The sequence below is a fragment of the Homo sapiens genome, chromosome 2 (assembly GCF_000001405.40).
Source record: "Homo sapiens chromosome 2, GRCh38.p14 Primary Assembly".
Classification (NCBI taxonomy): domain Eukaryota; kingdom Metazoa; phylum Chordata; class Mammalia; order Primates; family Hominidae; genus Homo; species Homo sapiens.
In genome coordinates, this window is record NC_000002.12 from 63,154,160 (window position 1) to 63,171,038 (window position 16,879).

Sequence of the window (16,879 nt, forward strand, 5' to 3'; positions counted from 1 at the left end):
TGTACTGTTTATATGTTAAAACTGACTTTCTTAAGGTATAGAGTTTTGTGAATTTTAACAGATGTTTAGATTCCTGTTATTACCATTACAAACAGAATATAGAACAGTTTCATCATGCCAAAAAACCCTCCCTTATATACTTTATAGTCACACCCCCTCAACCTATACACCCTGGCAACCACAGATATCTTCTTCATAACTATAGTTTTGACTTCACGAATGTTGTATGATTGGAATTATACCATATAAACTTTTGTGACTGACTTCTGTCATTCAGTATAATGCCCTGATATTCATCCAAGTTGTTAAACGTGTATCAATGGTTCACTGCTTTTTATTGCTGAGCAGTATTCCATTACAGATGTGTGTACCAGTTTATTTATTCACCTGTTGAAGGGTATTTTTCTCAGTTTTTGAAAATTATGAATAAAACTGCTACAAGCATTCATGTACAGTTTCTTGTGTGAACCTGTTTTTACTTTTCTAGTGTAAATACTTAATGGGATTGTTGAATCATATGGTGAATACATGTTTAACTTTATAAGAAACTGCAAAACCATTTCCCAGAAGAGTTGTACCATTTTATATTACATTTCATGCGACAATGAATGAGAGTTCAGTTACTTTGCATCATCCTCACCAGCACCTGGAATTGTCAGTATTTTTAAAAATTATTGACATTCTAATAGGTGTACAGAGGTATCTATCTCATCATGGTTTTAATTTCAATTTCCCAAATAGCTCATGATATTAAATTTATTTGTTTGCTATCCATATATCTCCTTATTGAAATGTCCGTCCAAGTCTTTTGACCACTGTAGTTGGGCTATTTGTTTTCTTACTGTTGAGCTTTGAGAGTTCTGTATATATTCTGGATACAACTCCTTTGCTGGATATGTGACTTGCAAATATTTGCTCCCATCATGTAGCTTGTCTTTTCAGGCTCCTAATAGTGCCTTTTGAGGAACAACAGTTGATGAAGTTACCAATTTTTTTAAAATGGATCATGCTTTTGGTGTCTAGTTGGAGAATTCTTTGTTAATCCCAGGTCACAAATATTTCCTCCTATGCTTTCTTCTAAAAGTTTGATAGTTTTACATTTTATATTTAGATCTATGATTTATTTTTAGTTAATTTTTGAGAGTAATGTGTGAGGTTTAGTTTGAGATTCTTTGTGTGTCTGTGTGTGCATAGATGTGTATTGTGCCAATACCATTTGTTGAAAAACTATCCTTTCTCCATTGAATTACCTTTGTACTTTTGTCAAAAATCAGCTGGGCATATTTATATGGGTCTATTTCTGGGTTATATGTTCTGTTTCATTAATCTGTGTGTCTGTCCTTTTACTAATACTGTAATTTCTTGATTAGTTATAGCTTTGGGGATGGCAAACCACAGTCCCTAGGCCAAATCCAGTTCATACATATTTTAGTAAATAAAGTTTTATTGGAACACCTTCATTTTATATTATCTATGGCTGCTTCCTTGCTATGATGACAGTTAAGTAGTTGTGACAGACTATGTGACCTGCAAAACCAAAAATCTTTACTAAATGGCCCTTCACAGAAAATGTTTGTCAACCCCTGCTTTAGCAAAAGTCCTAAGATCATGTATGATCCTTCCAACATTATTTTCCTTTTTCAAAATGTTTTTTGTTATTCTAGCTTCTTTGTCTCTTTGTATAAATTTTAGAATCAGCTTGTTGATATCTTTAAAAAATCCTTCTGGGATTTTGATCAGAATTTTATCAAATCTTTAGATTAATCAGAAATCTTTAGATTAGTCAGGAGACAGCTGACATCTTTACTATATTGAGTCCAAACCGTAAACACGTCTATTTATTTGTTTATTTATTTATTTGACAGAGTCTCGCTCTGTTGCTCAGACTGGAGAGCAGTGGCGGGATCTTGGCTCACTGCAACCTCCGCCCCCCGGATTCCAGCGATTCTCCTGCCTCAGCCTCCCGAGTAGCTGGGACTACAGGCGTGTGCCACCACACCCGGCTAATTTTTTTTTTATTTTTAACAGAGACGGTGTTTCACCATGTTGCCCAGGCTGGTCTCGAACTCCTGACCTCATGTGATCCGCCCTCCTAGGCCTCCCAAAGTGTTGGGATTACAAGCATGAGCCACCATGCCAGGCCCATTTATTTTAATCTTCTTAAGTTTTTAGCATACAGATGGAATGTTTTGTTAGACTTATAACACAGTATTTCTTTTATTTTGGAGCTACTGTAATTTAAAAAGCTTTTTTGGTTTTCAATTGTACATTACTAGTATATAGAAATACAATTGGGCCGGGAGCGGTGGCTCATGCCTGTAATCCCAGCACCTTGGGAGGCTGAGGCAGGCAGATCGCCTGAGTTCAGGAGTTCGAGACCCGTCTGGCCAACATGGTAAAACCCCATCTCTACTAAAAATACAAAAAAATTAGCCAGGCGTGGTGGCATGCACCTGTAATCCCAGCTACTAGGGAGGCTGAGGCAGGGGAATTGCTTGAACCAGGGAGGTGGAGGTTGCAGTGAGCCGAGGTCGTGCCATTGCACTCTAGCCTGGGTGACAGAGCGAGACTCTGTCTCAAAAAAAAGAAACAAAAGAAATACAATTGATTTTTATGTGTTGACCATATATCTTGTGACCTTGCTAAATGCACTTATTAGTTGTAGGAACCATTTTGTCTGCAAAAAGGGATGGTTTCATTTCTTCTTTAGTACAGTGTTCCATAAGAGTGGTAAAAGTGGACATTTTTACCATGTTTCCAATCTTAGGAGGAGAACATTCAGTCTTTCTCTATCAAGTAGGATAATAGCTGTAGTATTCTCTTTTTCCTTCTTGGTAGAAACTCTTTATAGTTTGAGGAAGCCCCCTTCTACTCCTAGTTTTCTGGGCTTTTTTTTTTTTTTTAATTATGAATGGGTATGGAATTTTGTCAGACATGCGTTTTGTACCAGTTGATTTGATCAGTTGATTTTTCTTATTTATATTGCTAAAATTGTGGATTACATTAATTTTTGAATATTGAATAAGCTGTGCATTCCCAAGGTAAATCCCACTTAATTCTAGTATACTATTATTTTTATATATTACTAAATTCTTAATCCTTGTTGAGGATTTTTACTTCTATATGTATGAGAGACAGTAGTCTATAGTTTTTTGTACTTTTTTTTCTTTCGTTTTGTAAAAAATTCCATGGGACTGCTTGATATCTTTTTTTGTACTGTCTTTGGGTAATAGCCTCAGAAAATGAGCTGGGATGTGTTGAATTATCATCTCATATTTTCTGAAAGAAATGTGCACAATTGCTAGTATATTTTTCTCTCAACGAATTCACCAGTGAAACCATCGGGACCTGGAGATCTCTTTTACAGAGTTTTTTGTTTTGTTTTAAACTACAAATTTAATTCCTTTAATAGCCATAGGATTCAGATGATCTCTTTCATTTTCTGCCAGTTTGGTAGTTTGTGGCTTTCAAGGAATTATTCCATTCAAACTATGTTGTTAAACTTATTTGCATACAGTAGTTCATGACATTATTTTTTATCTACTTAATGTCGGTAAAGTTTAAGATAATGTACCCTCTTTCGTTCCTGATATCAATAATCTATGTCTTCTTTTTCTCTTTGTCTGACTAGAGTTTTTTCAATTTTGTTGATCTTTTCAAACAGGCTTTTGACTTCATTAATTTTTTTGTTTTCAACTTCAATGATATATGCTCTTTATTATTTCCTTTCTTCTGCTTCCTTTGAGTTTACTTTGCTTTTCTTCCTTTAGTCTGTTTAGATGGAAGCTTAGATTGTTGACTGAGGCATTTCTTCTTTTCTCATATAAGCATTTAATTGAGTAAAATTCTTATTTTAAGCTGTGATTTTTTTTTTCAGTTTATAATCTTTTCTGATTTCCTTAAGACCATCTCTTTGACCTAGGGATTATTTAGAAGTTTGTTAATTTCTAAGCGTTTGGAGAATTTTCTCTATTTCTTTCTGTTATTTATTTCTAATCTATTCCCATTATGGTCAGAGGACATACTTTGTATATTCTTCTAGGTTTGTTTTATGACCCAGGATATGGTCTGTTTTGGTAAATGTTCACGTGCAAAAGGATGTGTGTTCTGGGTGGAATGATTTTCTGTCACTAGTTCTATCAGTTGTTGAGAAAGGACTGATGCAGTCTTCAAATGCAAATGTAGATTTGTCTGTTCCCATTGTGATCTCTATCATTTTTTCTTATATATTATGACATTCTCTTGTCAGATGCAAACACATTTAGAATTGTTATGCTTTCTTGATAAATTGGCTCTTTTATCATCTTTTCCTTCTTTGCTGGTGTCCCAAGTTTCCCTCTGGTATCATTTACCTTATGTCTCAAGAACTTTTAGTAATTCTTTAGTAACAAATCTACTGGAAACATATTTACTAAGTTTTCCTTCACCAAATTTGAAGTTTTCAGGTATTCTTTGTATATATATATTTTTCAGCATTGCATTCTTTATCCTCTCCTTCTACAGCTCTAATGTCATGAATGTTAGACCTTTTGGCATTGCCTCACAGGTCCCTCGGTTCATTTTTTTAAAAAAATATGTTTTCTTTGTTGTTCATTGGATACTTTCAATTGATCTGTCTTCAAGTTCATTGACTTCCCTTTGTTATCTCTATTCTGCTATTATCAAACCTATCAATGAGTTAAAAAATTTTGTGGGGGCCAGGCATGGTGGCTCACACCTGTAATGCCAGCACTCTGGCAGGCTGAGGTGGTTGGATCATTTGAGTTCAGGAGTTCGAGACCAGCCTGGGTAACATGGTAAAACCTCATCTCTACAAAAAAAAAAAAAAAAAAAAAAAAAAGCAAAAATTAGCAGGGTGTGGCGGCATGCCCCTGTAGTCCCAGCTCTTTGGGTGGCTGAGGCAGGAGGATCGCTTGAGCCCAGGAGGTTAAGGCTGCAGTGAGCTGTGATTGCACCATTGCAATCTAGCCTGTGAGACAGAATGAGACCCTATCTCAAAAAAAAACTTTTTTTTTTTTTTTGGTTAATTTACTTTTGAATTCTTTATTTGTTTCTTCTTTATACCTTCTATTTCTTTTTGATACTTGGGTTTTTTTTTGTTTGTTGGTTTTTTAAAGAGATGAGGTGTCACTAGTTGCCTAGGCTACCCTCCAACTCCTGGGCTCAAGTGATCTTCCTGCCTCAGTCTCCCAAGTAGCTGGGACTACTGGTGCATGCCACCATGCCTGGCTTGTTTCAGTAATTTTAATGATTGTTGGAGCTCCTTAAAGTTTGTCAGATAATTCCAACATTTGTCATCTCAGCATTATTGTCTTTTACTAATCTTTTCTCATGTGAGTTGAGATTTTCCTGCCGCTTTATATATCAAGTAATTTTTGGTATCCTGGACATTTTGAGTATTTTAAGACTTGATCTTGTTAAAATTCTGTGATGAATGTTATTTTTGTTTTAGCAAGCAATTATCTTATGTTTAGGCTTCAAGTTACAGTGTTCCTCTGTGAGCTATGGTATGTCAGTTTACTTTTCAAAGCCTCTTTGCAGGGCTGTTTGTCGTGCTATTTGGTGATATCTGCAGTGCTGTCAGTGTGTGTACCATCCAGTAGCAAATATATAACCTGGGTGATAGTTTATCTATCAGTTTAGATCTCAAAGTCTTTTATATACTGGTTAGAATCAGATCCACACATGCATACCTTGGGGTAAGCCCTGGAGTTTATAAACAATTTAATGGGGTTGTTTTCACAAGCTTTCATGTCTGCAATCTCCTTTGGTGCTTTCTGGATCCAGGAAGCTGCATCTTTAGTTATCTTATGCTTCCATGTACCTCCATGGTTGCACTTGACTAGGCCCAAGTGGTGGTGAACTAAAGGAAAACACACTAGTAAACTTGCCATAGGTTCAGAGGCACCTTAAGTTCTTGTCTTCGTCCTTATTTCTTCTGTATTATTTACTTTTCAGACTCCCCAAACAGCTGCTCCAATATATTCTACCTAGGATTTTTAGCTGCATTCAATGGGTGAGACAGGAGGAATGTGCTTACTCCATCTTACCAGGAACCAGAACCTGATAATCGTGATTTTTAAGTGAGTATATAGTATCTGTTATTTAGATATACTGTAATTTAGTCATTAATTCCCCACATATATTTTTAGGTCATTCACTTATACAATAACAATGTGATTAACATTTTTATGTTTATATTACAAAAATGAAATTTAAAGTTATGGCATTTTTGGGCTTTTGTTATATGTTGCTAAAATTAGTTTCTGAAAGATTGATACTGATTTACAAATTTGACTATCACAAAGAATATTGACCACAATTCATTAAAATACATCAAATGATATTTAAAAATCCATATGAACCTCCCCTCCCCTACTACCCAAACAGTGGCCACTACTGGGGGTTGCTGGGTTAATTTATTATCCTAAAAACTGATAAATCTAGGGAAGTTATCAAGCATTTACTCTGCCTTTCGAGGTAACTGAATAGTTGATAAGGAAACTTTTATTATGTATAGAAGTACTCAAACTTATAAATGCAGAAGGAGTTACAAAATTAGAAAATCATCATTTCACAACCCCTAATAAAATAATCTAGGCAATGTTCATCAGTGATTTAAAAAACATCAGGTGAAAGGTTGATGGGGAAGTTTATAATGGAGAATTCCATTAATCAGTCTTTGCTTCACTAAAATACATTATATATCTCATGTTGTGATGTAATAGGAAGCCCACAGCACCATCTACTATGCATTACTTGGGACACAAAGCAACAATTTCCCCAAATTTGCTTATAGAACCATAAGTAAGAAAGCAAAATAATAAAAATGTATAAATATAGGGGATTTGCAGATGACATGTGCTCTTCTCCCTTGTTCCAGATATGCAGTGTATCTGTGGGAAGAAGCATACAAAGCTTGATGTACGTTGAACCATAGTTAATAGATATGGTCTGTAAGGAAAATACTACATGATGCTGTGGAAGTGAGTCAGGGCATACTTAAGGAATTTTCTGGGCCTCTGCCATATCTGCAGAAGGCAGTTCAGTACCCTTGTCTAGCTCCATTTTCAGTTGTGCAGGAAACACCAAAGACAAAAGCATCTATTATTTAGTTATAATTTTTGCATATATATATATAAATGGCGCCATATTCCTTATGTGCTTTTCACTTTCCATAATTCCCTCTCTGAAAGTCTGAATTTCTTAACCTTTTTGTCACTCCTTCTTGACACAGAAAGGTATGTGAACCTAGATTCAAAGAATATGGCACAGAGATAATAAATAGACCCAAAGAAATAGTGAAAAGGACATTTCTGGCTGTTCTGCAATGGCAATATTTCATGATTTTGAAACACACACTTCAATATTTCATTATTCACTAACAAAGCTGCAGGAGGTCCATATCTGAGAATAACTGCTTTCAGAAAATAAAACAAAAAAAGCCCCTTAAAGTGAATCAATTTAAACTGGGGTTGAAAATCATAATAAATGGTGACAATATAATTTGACTAAAAATAAGAGGTAAAAATATATAGATAAGCTTATTTTACTTGTATTAATAAAATATATGTTGTAATTTCAACTGTTCATAAATTCATTTTTTTCTTTTTTTTTTTTTTGACACGGAGTCTTGCTCTGTTGCTCAGGCTGGAGTGCGGTGGCACGATCTCAATTCACTGCAACCTCCTCCTCCTGTGTTCAAGCGATTCTCCTGCCTCGGCCTCCTGAGTAGCTGGGACTGCAGGCATGTGCCACCACACCCAGTTAATTTTTGTATTTTTATTTTTAGTAGAGGTGGGGTTTCATCATGTTGGCCAGGCTGGTCTTGAACTCCTGACCTCAAGTGATCTGTGTGCCTCAGCATCCCAAAATGCTGGGATTACTGGCGTGAGCTACTGTGCCCAGCCATCTGTGCGTAAATTCTTAGATGGAACAAAGTCAGTCAGTTTGATCTGGAGAGTGGGGAATGGGTCTACTTTTTCTGACCAAATTGTCTTACAGTATGATATGGCATATTTAACTTCATATTCGACTTGCACAGCATGCAAGTTCAGAAAGAGGACCATTTTTTTTTTCAAAAAATATTCAAGGACTTAATCACTTTTCTGAGGGATTCTATTAATACTTTGATAAATTCATTTGCAGTTTTATTATTCTTGTTGAATTTCTCTTTTTAATTGGTCTAAGTTCCTTTTCCTGATTTATCAATAGTTTTACATGAGATCTGGACATTTCTGTAACATCTCTTTCATTGACTTCATGAAACATTGTTTTTGCAAGATTTTTAGTTGTTTTGAAATATGTTTGTATTGCTGTGTTGGGTATTTAAAGAGCTGACAATCAGTGAAAATACTGATAAACTAATATTTCATAGGTGGGGATAAATGCTAGTCTTCACTGAGGAGGGATATTTGAATGGGGAGAGGACTGAGTTTACAAGTAGTTAACTTATTATTAAATATTTCATGTTATAAGGACTATTGTTCTATGTAAACTCATAACTACAGGGTCTCAGATAATGAATATTTGGGTAATTAGGAACCCCTGTAGTTAAAAAATTATATCTTTGAATGCAACTTATGAAGTTTGAATGCTCTGAGCTTTGTGGGATAAAAGTACTATGCAAATAGTAAATGTCACATAAAGTCCACTAATAAAGGTTAAGGATTTCAAAATATGTAATATAGATAAGGCTTTATACATGAAATTATACCTCATTTGACTTAGTTACTAAAAAGAAAATGAAACATTCCAAGTGAAAACACTTCTTAAAATACATAAATTTTGGTGCCTTAGATTTTCTAAGTTTTTCATTTGTCTAGTTCTGGTACTGGAGAACTAACTGCAGTTCCATAAAAGAGCTGTGAATCTATAAAGCAGCTCATTTCCTTCCAGCTTTTCTTGAGACATATTAAAGCCACAATAAAATATAACTTCTCTTACTCAATAAGCTTTAGTGGATCAGAAAAAGAAACTAAGAAAATAGGCCAGATTAAGCTGGAGAGAAAATGGAAATCTTTTTGTTCTTCAACTCCCATTGTCTTTCTCACATTATCAGTTTTCTTAAAAATAGCTATAGAGTCAGTGAAAACGTGTAAACATCTTTAGATTGCCAAATTGATTATACCCTTTCATTTTTATGTTTTAAAAGAGCTTAAGATTGTTTATCTTCTTTGGAAAGATGTTTAAAATTAGACACATTTAATCATATACCAAGGCTTAGAAAAGGATGTCTCTAGTGAGTTTCTGGTTTTATAGGCAGCAAACATAAAGCACCTGGTGGGCACAATATGAACTTACAGTTTTATGTAATATACATTAAAGCTACCTTAAGAGCTCAACACACTGGAAATGCTTAGTATATTCTACATTTATTTCAGTTTAAGATACAGAAATGGACTCCTAGACATATGCCATATGTTCTCCTCTCATGCCAAGTTAACAAGAATTAAAAGACTGAGATGAATAAACAAGGTCAACTTAGGCTGAGCCAAATTAGACAACAGAATAATTGTCAGATTTTCTGTTGGCAGGGACAGTTTGTTTTGAGCCAATCTTCATGAATTATAGGCTGTAATTTTTTTTTTCTGGTAAGTCTACTGCCAGGCATTCTGTTGACAATTTCTTTGTTTTGTAAACACTGAAAATTTTCATCCATTATATTGTTTATAGGCACACACCAGGATTCTGAATAGATCAGTATTTTTGGTTTGTTCCAACTTAAAGGAAAACTGCTTAGACATGAATCAAATAAAATCACGCCAAAATTTAACAACTTTTAACAAGATAGTATTTCATTTGGAGTTTCTTATGTATGAATTCAATACTGGTTCATTATAATAGCAGGAAACCAACCAGTATTGTAGTTAATTTCTAGCTGTAAATATCAAAGTAGATATATTTACTGCAAATACAAGGTTTATTTGTTCTACAATAAATAATTTTAGACCTTGGAAAGGATAATCTAATACAAATGAGAAAATTGAGGCAACCAGAGAAGTTGACTTATTTGAAATACAAGAACTAGTTTAGGGCTGTACCTAATCTAATTATTTTTAATTTAGTCCTAGGATCATTCATTTTGTTTATACAGTGTCTGACATGGTTTAGATCTGTGTCCTCACCAAATCAAATTTGACATTAGATATGTCAAACTGTAATCCCCAGAGTTGGAGGTCGGACCTGGTGGGAGGTGATTGGATCGTGGGAGTGGTTTCTCATGAATGGCTTAGCACTGTCCCCTTGGTGCTGTTCTTGTGATAGCAAGTAAGTTCTCATGAGATCTGGTGGTTTAAAAGTGTGTGGCACCTCCCCCCAAACCCCTCTATTCCTCCTGCTCTGACCATGTGAAGTGCTGGCTCCCCCTTTGCCTTCTGCCATGACTATAAGTTTCCTGAGGCCTCCCCAGAAACTGAGCAGATGCTAGCATCATGCTTCCTGTACAGCCTGAGTAAGAGTGAGCCAATTAAACATCTTTTCTTTATAAATTACCCAGTCTCAGGTATTTCTTTATAAGAATGTGAGGACAAACCAATATAATGTTTAAGGCTTTATTACACACAAATGTGTATGTATAAAGACGTAATTTATAACAACACAAAGGAGCAAGAGAGAGGAATGGAGCAATACAGGAGCAAAGTTTTTATATACTATTGTTGTTAAATTGATATTAAAACAAACTAAGTTGTTATAAATTAAGATTTATAATCATCAGGTGAACCACAAAAGAAAAATCCTCCAAAGAAATTACAAGGGTATTAAAATACCTACTTAACACAAGAGAAGGCAATAAGTGAGGAATAGAGGAATAGCTACAAGGAATGTAGAATATGACAGCAAAATGACTGATGTAAATCCTGACTTATTTAGTAATTACATTAATAATAAATGGATTAAACCCTCCAATTAAAAGGAAGAGATTGGTGGAATGAATTTAAAAAGAATCACTTTCAAATCTTTTAAGATATGTGACACTATGTAAGAGACAAAGTGGAAACTTTAAAAGAGAATTTAAAAAATATATTGTTTTTCTTACGTAAAGTGAGTGTCCCTCAATTCCTGTTGTGTTTTCATCAGGACTGGGAGCTGAATTGAGCTGAATTTTGTCAAAGGCATTTTCAACATCTATATAAATAATTGTATGATTTTTATCAACCTTAGATCTATTAATATGGTATATGATATTAATGGATTTGGTAACACTAAAACAACCTTGTATTTTCAGGGTGGATCCAAGTGTTGGATTTTTTTCACTAATATTTTACTTAATATTTTTTACATGAATGATATTGGCTTGTCATTTTTCTGTGGAAAAGTTTTTCTTTATTTTCAATGCTTTGGAATAATTTATAGAGCATTCAGAATATCTGATCTTTGAAGGTTTTGGTAGAATTCTACCTGGTCATCTGGGCCTTTTGCTCTTTTACAGGGTAATTTCTTAATAATCTTGTCTATTTCTTTTATGAAAATTGGTGTGCTTCAGATTTCTAAATTCAGTGGTGGACACTTTTGGCAATCTGTATTTATCTAGTATGTTATCTATTGTTTTCTAAGTTTTCAAATTCATTTGCATAGAAATTTGCGAAGTAGTCTCTTATGATTAAAAAGAAAAAACCCTCCCTTGTTTAAATGGTTAATTTCTCCCTTCCTCCCTCTGCCATTTCTTAATTTTGTATGTTTTGTTTTCTCTCCTTTTTTTGATCAAGTTGGTCCATTTTGTTGTTTCAAAAACATTTGGATTTGATATCTTACTACAGTTTTTTGTTTGTTTGTTTTGTTTTGTTCTTTGTCTTCTACCTGAGGTGTCAGTAATCTATGGCTTATGGACTGGTTGCCTGTTTTTGTAAATAAAGTTTTTTGTTTGTTTTGTTTTTTGCTTTGTAAATTTCTTTTTTTTAATTTTAATTTTAATTTTTTTATTTTGAAACGGAGTCTAGCCCAGTCGTCCAGGCTGGAGTGCAATGACGCAGTCTAGCCTCAGTGCAACCTCCGCCTCTCGGGTCCAAGCAATTCTCCTGCCTCAGCCTCCCAAGTAGCTGGGACTACAGGTGCATGCCACCACACCTGGCTAATTTTTGTATTTTTAGTAGAGACGGGGTTTCACCATGTTGGCCAGGCTGGTCTCAAACCCCTGACCTCGTGATTCGCCTGCCTTGGCCTCCCAAAGTGCTGGGATTACAGGCATGAGCCACCGTGCCTGGCTAATTTTTAATTTGTTGGATACGTAGTAGGTGTATATATTTATGGGGTACATGAAATTTTTGAGACAGGGTCTTGCTCTGTCACCCAGGCTGGAGTGCAGGGGCGCGATCAGCTCACTAAAACTTCTGCCTCCCGGGTTTCAGCGATTCTCATGCCTCACTCTTCCTGAGGCGTGTTCCACCACGCCTGGCTAATTTTTTTGTATTTTTAGTAGAGACAGGGTTTCGCCATATTTGCCGAGCTGGTCTCGAACTCCTGGCCTCAAGTGATCTGCCTGCCTCAGCCTCCCTAAATGTTGGGATTACAGGCATTAGCCACCGTGCCTGGCTGTACATGAGATATTTTGATATAGGTAAACAATGTGTAATAAGCACATCAGGGTAAATGAGGTGTCCATCACCTAAAGCATTTATCATTTCCTTGTGTTACAAACATTCCAATTATACTCATTTATTTATTTTTATTAAAATATACAATAAATTACTGTTGACTGTAATTACCCTGTTGTGCTATCAAATACTAGATCTCACTCATTCTATCTGATTGTATTTTTGTACCCATTAACCATCCCCACCGCCATCAATTACCTTTCACAGCCTCTGGTAACCATTATTATATTCACTATCTCTATGAGTTCAATTGTTTTAATTTTTAGCTTCCCACAAATGAGTGAGAACATGTGAAGTTTGTCATTCTGTGCCTGGCTTATTTCACTTAACATAATGTTCTCCAGTTCCATGTAAATAAAGTTTTATTGGACCACAGCCACATCGGTTCATTTATGTATTGTCTATGACTGTTTTCGTGCTACAACAGAGTTAAATAGTTGCAGCAGAGAACATATGGTCCATAAGCCTAAAATATTTACACTGAAGCCATTTAGGAAAAAAGTTTGCCAATCCCTGCTCTGCCTCATTAATTTCTGGTTTTATCTTTATTATTTCTTTCCTTGTGCTTTATTTTGGTGTAGTGTCTTGTTATTTTTTAAAGCTTTTGAGTTACAATTGTTCCCTTTTCTCATTTTTTTTTCTGGTAAAAGTGCTTAGTGGTATCAGTTTTCCTCTGATTATTACTTAAATACATCCCATATATTCTGATATGTAGTGTTTTATTATAATTACTTCTTAGAAATTTCATGTTGTATTTCTTCTTTCATCCAAAAATTGTTTAATAAAAGGTTTTAAAATTTCCACAAGAAAGGGCATGTTGGTTCTTGTTAAACATTGCTGGTTGTATTACATTGTGATTGGAGAGTGTTTGTAATATTTAGTGAAATTTAATGATATATTTTAGCAAGTAACATACCTTTTTTGTAAATAGTCCATGAATTCTTAGGAAGAAAACTTATTTTCTTTTATCAAGGAATAGAATTTGATGAATATTCATAATATCTACATTATTATGTTTAGGTATTATTTCTTGTTACTTTTTGCCTACTTGATCTATTCTGTAGTAAGCATAGTGAGTTAGGCTGGGTGTGGTGGCTCACGCCTATAATCCCAGCACTTTGGGAGGCCAAGGCAGGTGGATCACTTGAGCCCAGAAGTTCAAGACTAGCCTGGGCAACATGGCAAAACGCCATCTCTACAAAAAATACAAAAAATTAGCTGCATGTGGTGACACATGCCTGTTGTCCCAGCCACCCAGGAGGCTGAGGTGGATCACCTGAGCCCAGGAGGTCAAGACTGTGGTGAGCCATGATCACGCCACTGCACTCCAGGCCAGGCAAGAGTGAGACCCTGCCAAAAAAAAAAAAAAAAAAAAAGGAATAGTAAGTTAAAATCTCCTATTATTCATATCTCTCTATATCTCCTTGCATCTTTTATAGATTTTCCTTTATAAAGGTGACTTCTATATTATTTGTTGTACAAATATTCTTAAGTGTTTTATCTATGTGAAATTTGCATTAATTTTTTTTTTATTTGTTGGATTTTATGCTTTTGGGCTTGAATTCTGTAATTAGTATGGTTACTATTGGTTTCTTATTATTTTCATTTGCCTGAATATCTTTCCCCATTCCTTTATTTTTACCCTTTCTGAATCATTTTATTTAGATGTATGTCTTTCTTACAGTACATAGCTGGATCTTGCTTTATGAGCAAATTGAATCTTTTTCTTTTAATAGGTGAGGTGAGTCCATTTACATCAATTGATATGACTGATATGCTAGGTTTCAACTCTTTTACTAATATTTTATAATTTTGTGAATTTTGATATATTTGCTGTGTTTCTCTCTGAGGTATGTGTTTCCTTTCTTCTCACTTATTTATCACTTGAGCCCAGGAGTTGTGGGCTGCAAAATGCCCATTGGGTACCACACTGAGTTTGGCATCAATATGGTGACCTCCTGGGAGCTGAGGACCACCAGGTTGCATAAGGTGGGGTGAACCGGGCCAGACTGGAAAGGGGGTCAATCAGTAGTGGGATTGTGCCTGGTGAATAACCATTGCACTCCAGCCTGGGCAACACAGTGAGACTCCGTCTCTTAAAAAATAAAAAGTAAATGGTAGTTAGTAAGGCTTGTGGTTTTGTTCTAGTGGTTACCTTTGTACTTGTGTCTTTTCTAATGCCTTTAGTCTCTTCTTTTCCTAGTTAACCTTTTATTATGTGGCATATGAGATTTTATTGTCTCTTTTAACTCCCAACTATTGGCTATACAACCATCAGTGAGCTTATTCTATCTTACTCTTTCACTCTCTGTTCCACTCCCATTTTCTAAAGTTGTATTACTTCTACTTAACATACAGTATTTGTATATGGGTCTTCCACCCCTTTTATCTTCTGCCTACATTTATATTTATTAAAATATAGTCAGTCCTTGTACTGACACTTTGTTACTCATCTCATGGTTAGATGAAACTCTTCCTCTAGTATTCCTCAAGAAGGGTTCATGGGTACAGAATTTCCTATATTGAAAACTGTTTCTTTTAGCGTTCATACTTGAAGGAGATCATGGATGACTATACTATCCTTGGTTCACACTTTCAGTCACTGAGTTTTTGAAAACTGTAGTTCTGCTTTTGCCTTGCCTTATATTTTATTTTTTTGAAAAGTTTGATACTTGTTTGAAAAGTTCGATACTTTTTTCCTGAAAGTGCACTTTGGGTGTCTGAGAAAAATTAGAACAATCAGCTCCAAGAAATATCCTAGCTATACTCTTATATTTCAATGATTAATTTAAAAAATGTTTAGGGCCTTCTGGTAAAAAGATCAAATAACTTACATAAGCAAAAGTACATGAATATATTTTGCAACATTTTCTTGGATTTTTAGTTTCAAGTATCTGTTACATTGTTTTATTTTTTCTTTTTCAAGGAATCCAATTATACAAACGCTGTTGCTTCTCTGTCTTATCTCCCATTCCATTACTTTTTCTTTGACTTTTTTACTTCTCATTTTCTTTTGTTTTCCGCCATTTTCAATGTTTTTAATTAAGTTTTATTATGAGTTTATTCTCATTTGGGTACCCTGTAACTTATTTTTCATTTTTGGATAATATTATGCTTTTTATTTTCATTTATTTGTTTCAGTGGACTTTTTTTTTTTTTGAGACCCTATCACTCTGCCACCCAGGCTGGAGTGCAGTGGCATAATCAGGACTCATTGAAGCCTTAATGTTTAGGGCCCCAAGCGATCCTCCTACCTCAGTCTCCCAAGTAGCTGGGACTGCAGGCGTGGACCACCATGCCAGGCTAATTTTTTTTTTTTTCAGTAGAGATGAGGTCTCGCTATGTTGCCCAGGCTGGTCTTGAGTCCCTGGGCTCAAGGGATCCTCCCACCTTGGCCTCCCAAAGTGTTTGGATTACAGGTGCAAGCCACCACACCTGGACAATTTTCTTGGTGTCTTCTTCCATCCCTCCCTCCTCCTCTCCTGTCCATTTCTATTTTCCATTTTTTTCTTTTTCTTTCTTTCTTTTTTTTTTTTCTGAGATGGAGTCTCACTCTGTCACCCTGGCTGGAGTGCAATGGTGCAATCTCAGCTCACTGCAACCTCCGCCTCCTGGGTTCAAGCAATTCCCCTGCCTCAGCCTCCCAAGGAGCTGGGATTACAGACATGTGCCATCACACCAGGCTAATTTTTATATTTTTAGTAGAGATGGGGTTTCACCATGTTGGCCAGGCTGGTCTTGAACTCCTGACCTCAGGTGATCCGCCTCAGCCTCCCAAAGTGCTGGTATTACAGGCGTGAGCCACCGTGCCTGGCCTCATTTTGTCTTTATAATTCAGAGTGGGTTTCAATATACCCAGTTGCTTATTCCAATGTATCTAATTCTGCCTGGTGTGGTGTTATACAGTTTTCTTTGACATCATGATTGTTTTGGGGGAGGATAATTTTCCTTAACTGATGTGTGTAGTTTTCATTTTCTGTTACTTTGTATGAAACTGTTCATCTTTTTCCTGCTTATTTTTGTGGTATTGGCTATGTTTTGTGAGATCCTAGTTCAGTGGGGTCCTCAGTAGAGCAAAGTCTAGGCACTTGTTAGCATATATTCATCGAATAGACATATAGATCAATAGAGCAGAATGACAAATCCAGAAATAAACACTTAACACCTATAGTCAGTTGATTTTTGATGAAGGTGTAAAGGCAATTCAGTGGGGAAAATGAGTTTTTTTTCTTCCTCAAAAAAATACTGGGGAAACGTGTATTTCTATGTACTACATAATGACCTTA

The 16,879-nt window shown here is 35.4% G+C and overlaps 1 protein-coding gene across 15 annotated transcripts in view; it reads right to left on the bottom strand.

Annotated features, from left to right (window-relative positions):
* The window catches only part of WDPCP (WD repeat containing planar cell polarity effector), a 721,268-nt gene that overhangs the window by 34,601 nt on the left and 669,788 nt on the right, over positions 1 to 16,879 (bottom strand). The gene's annotated exons all lie outside the window — the stretch shown is intronic.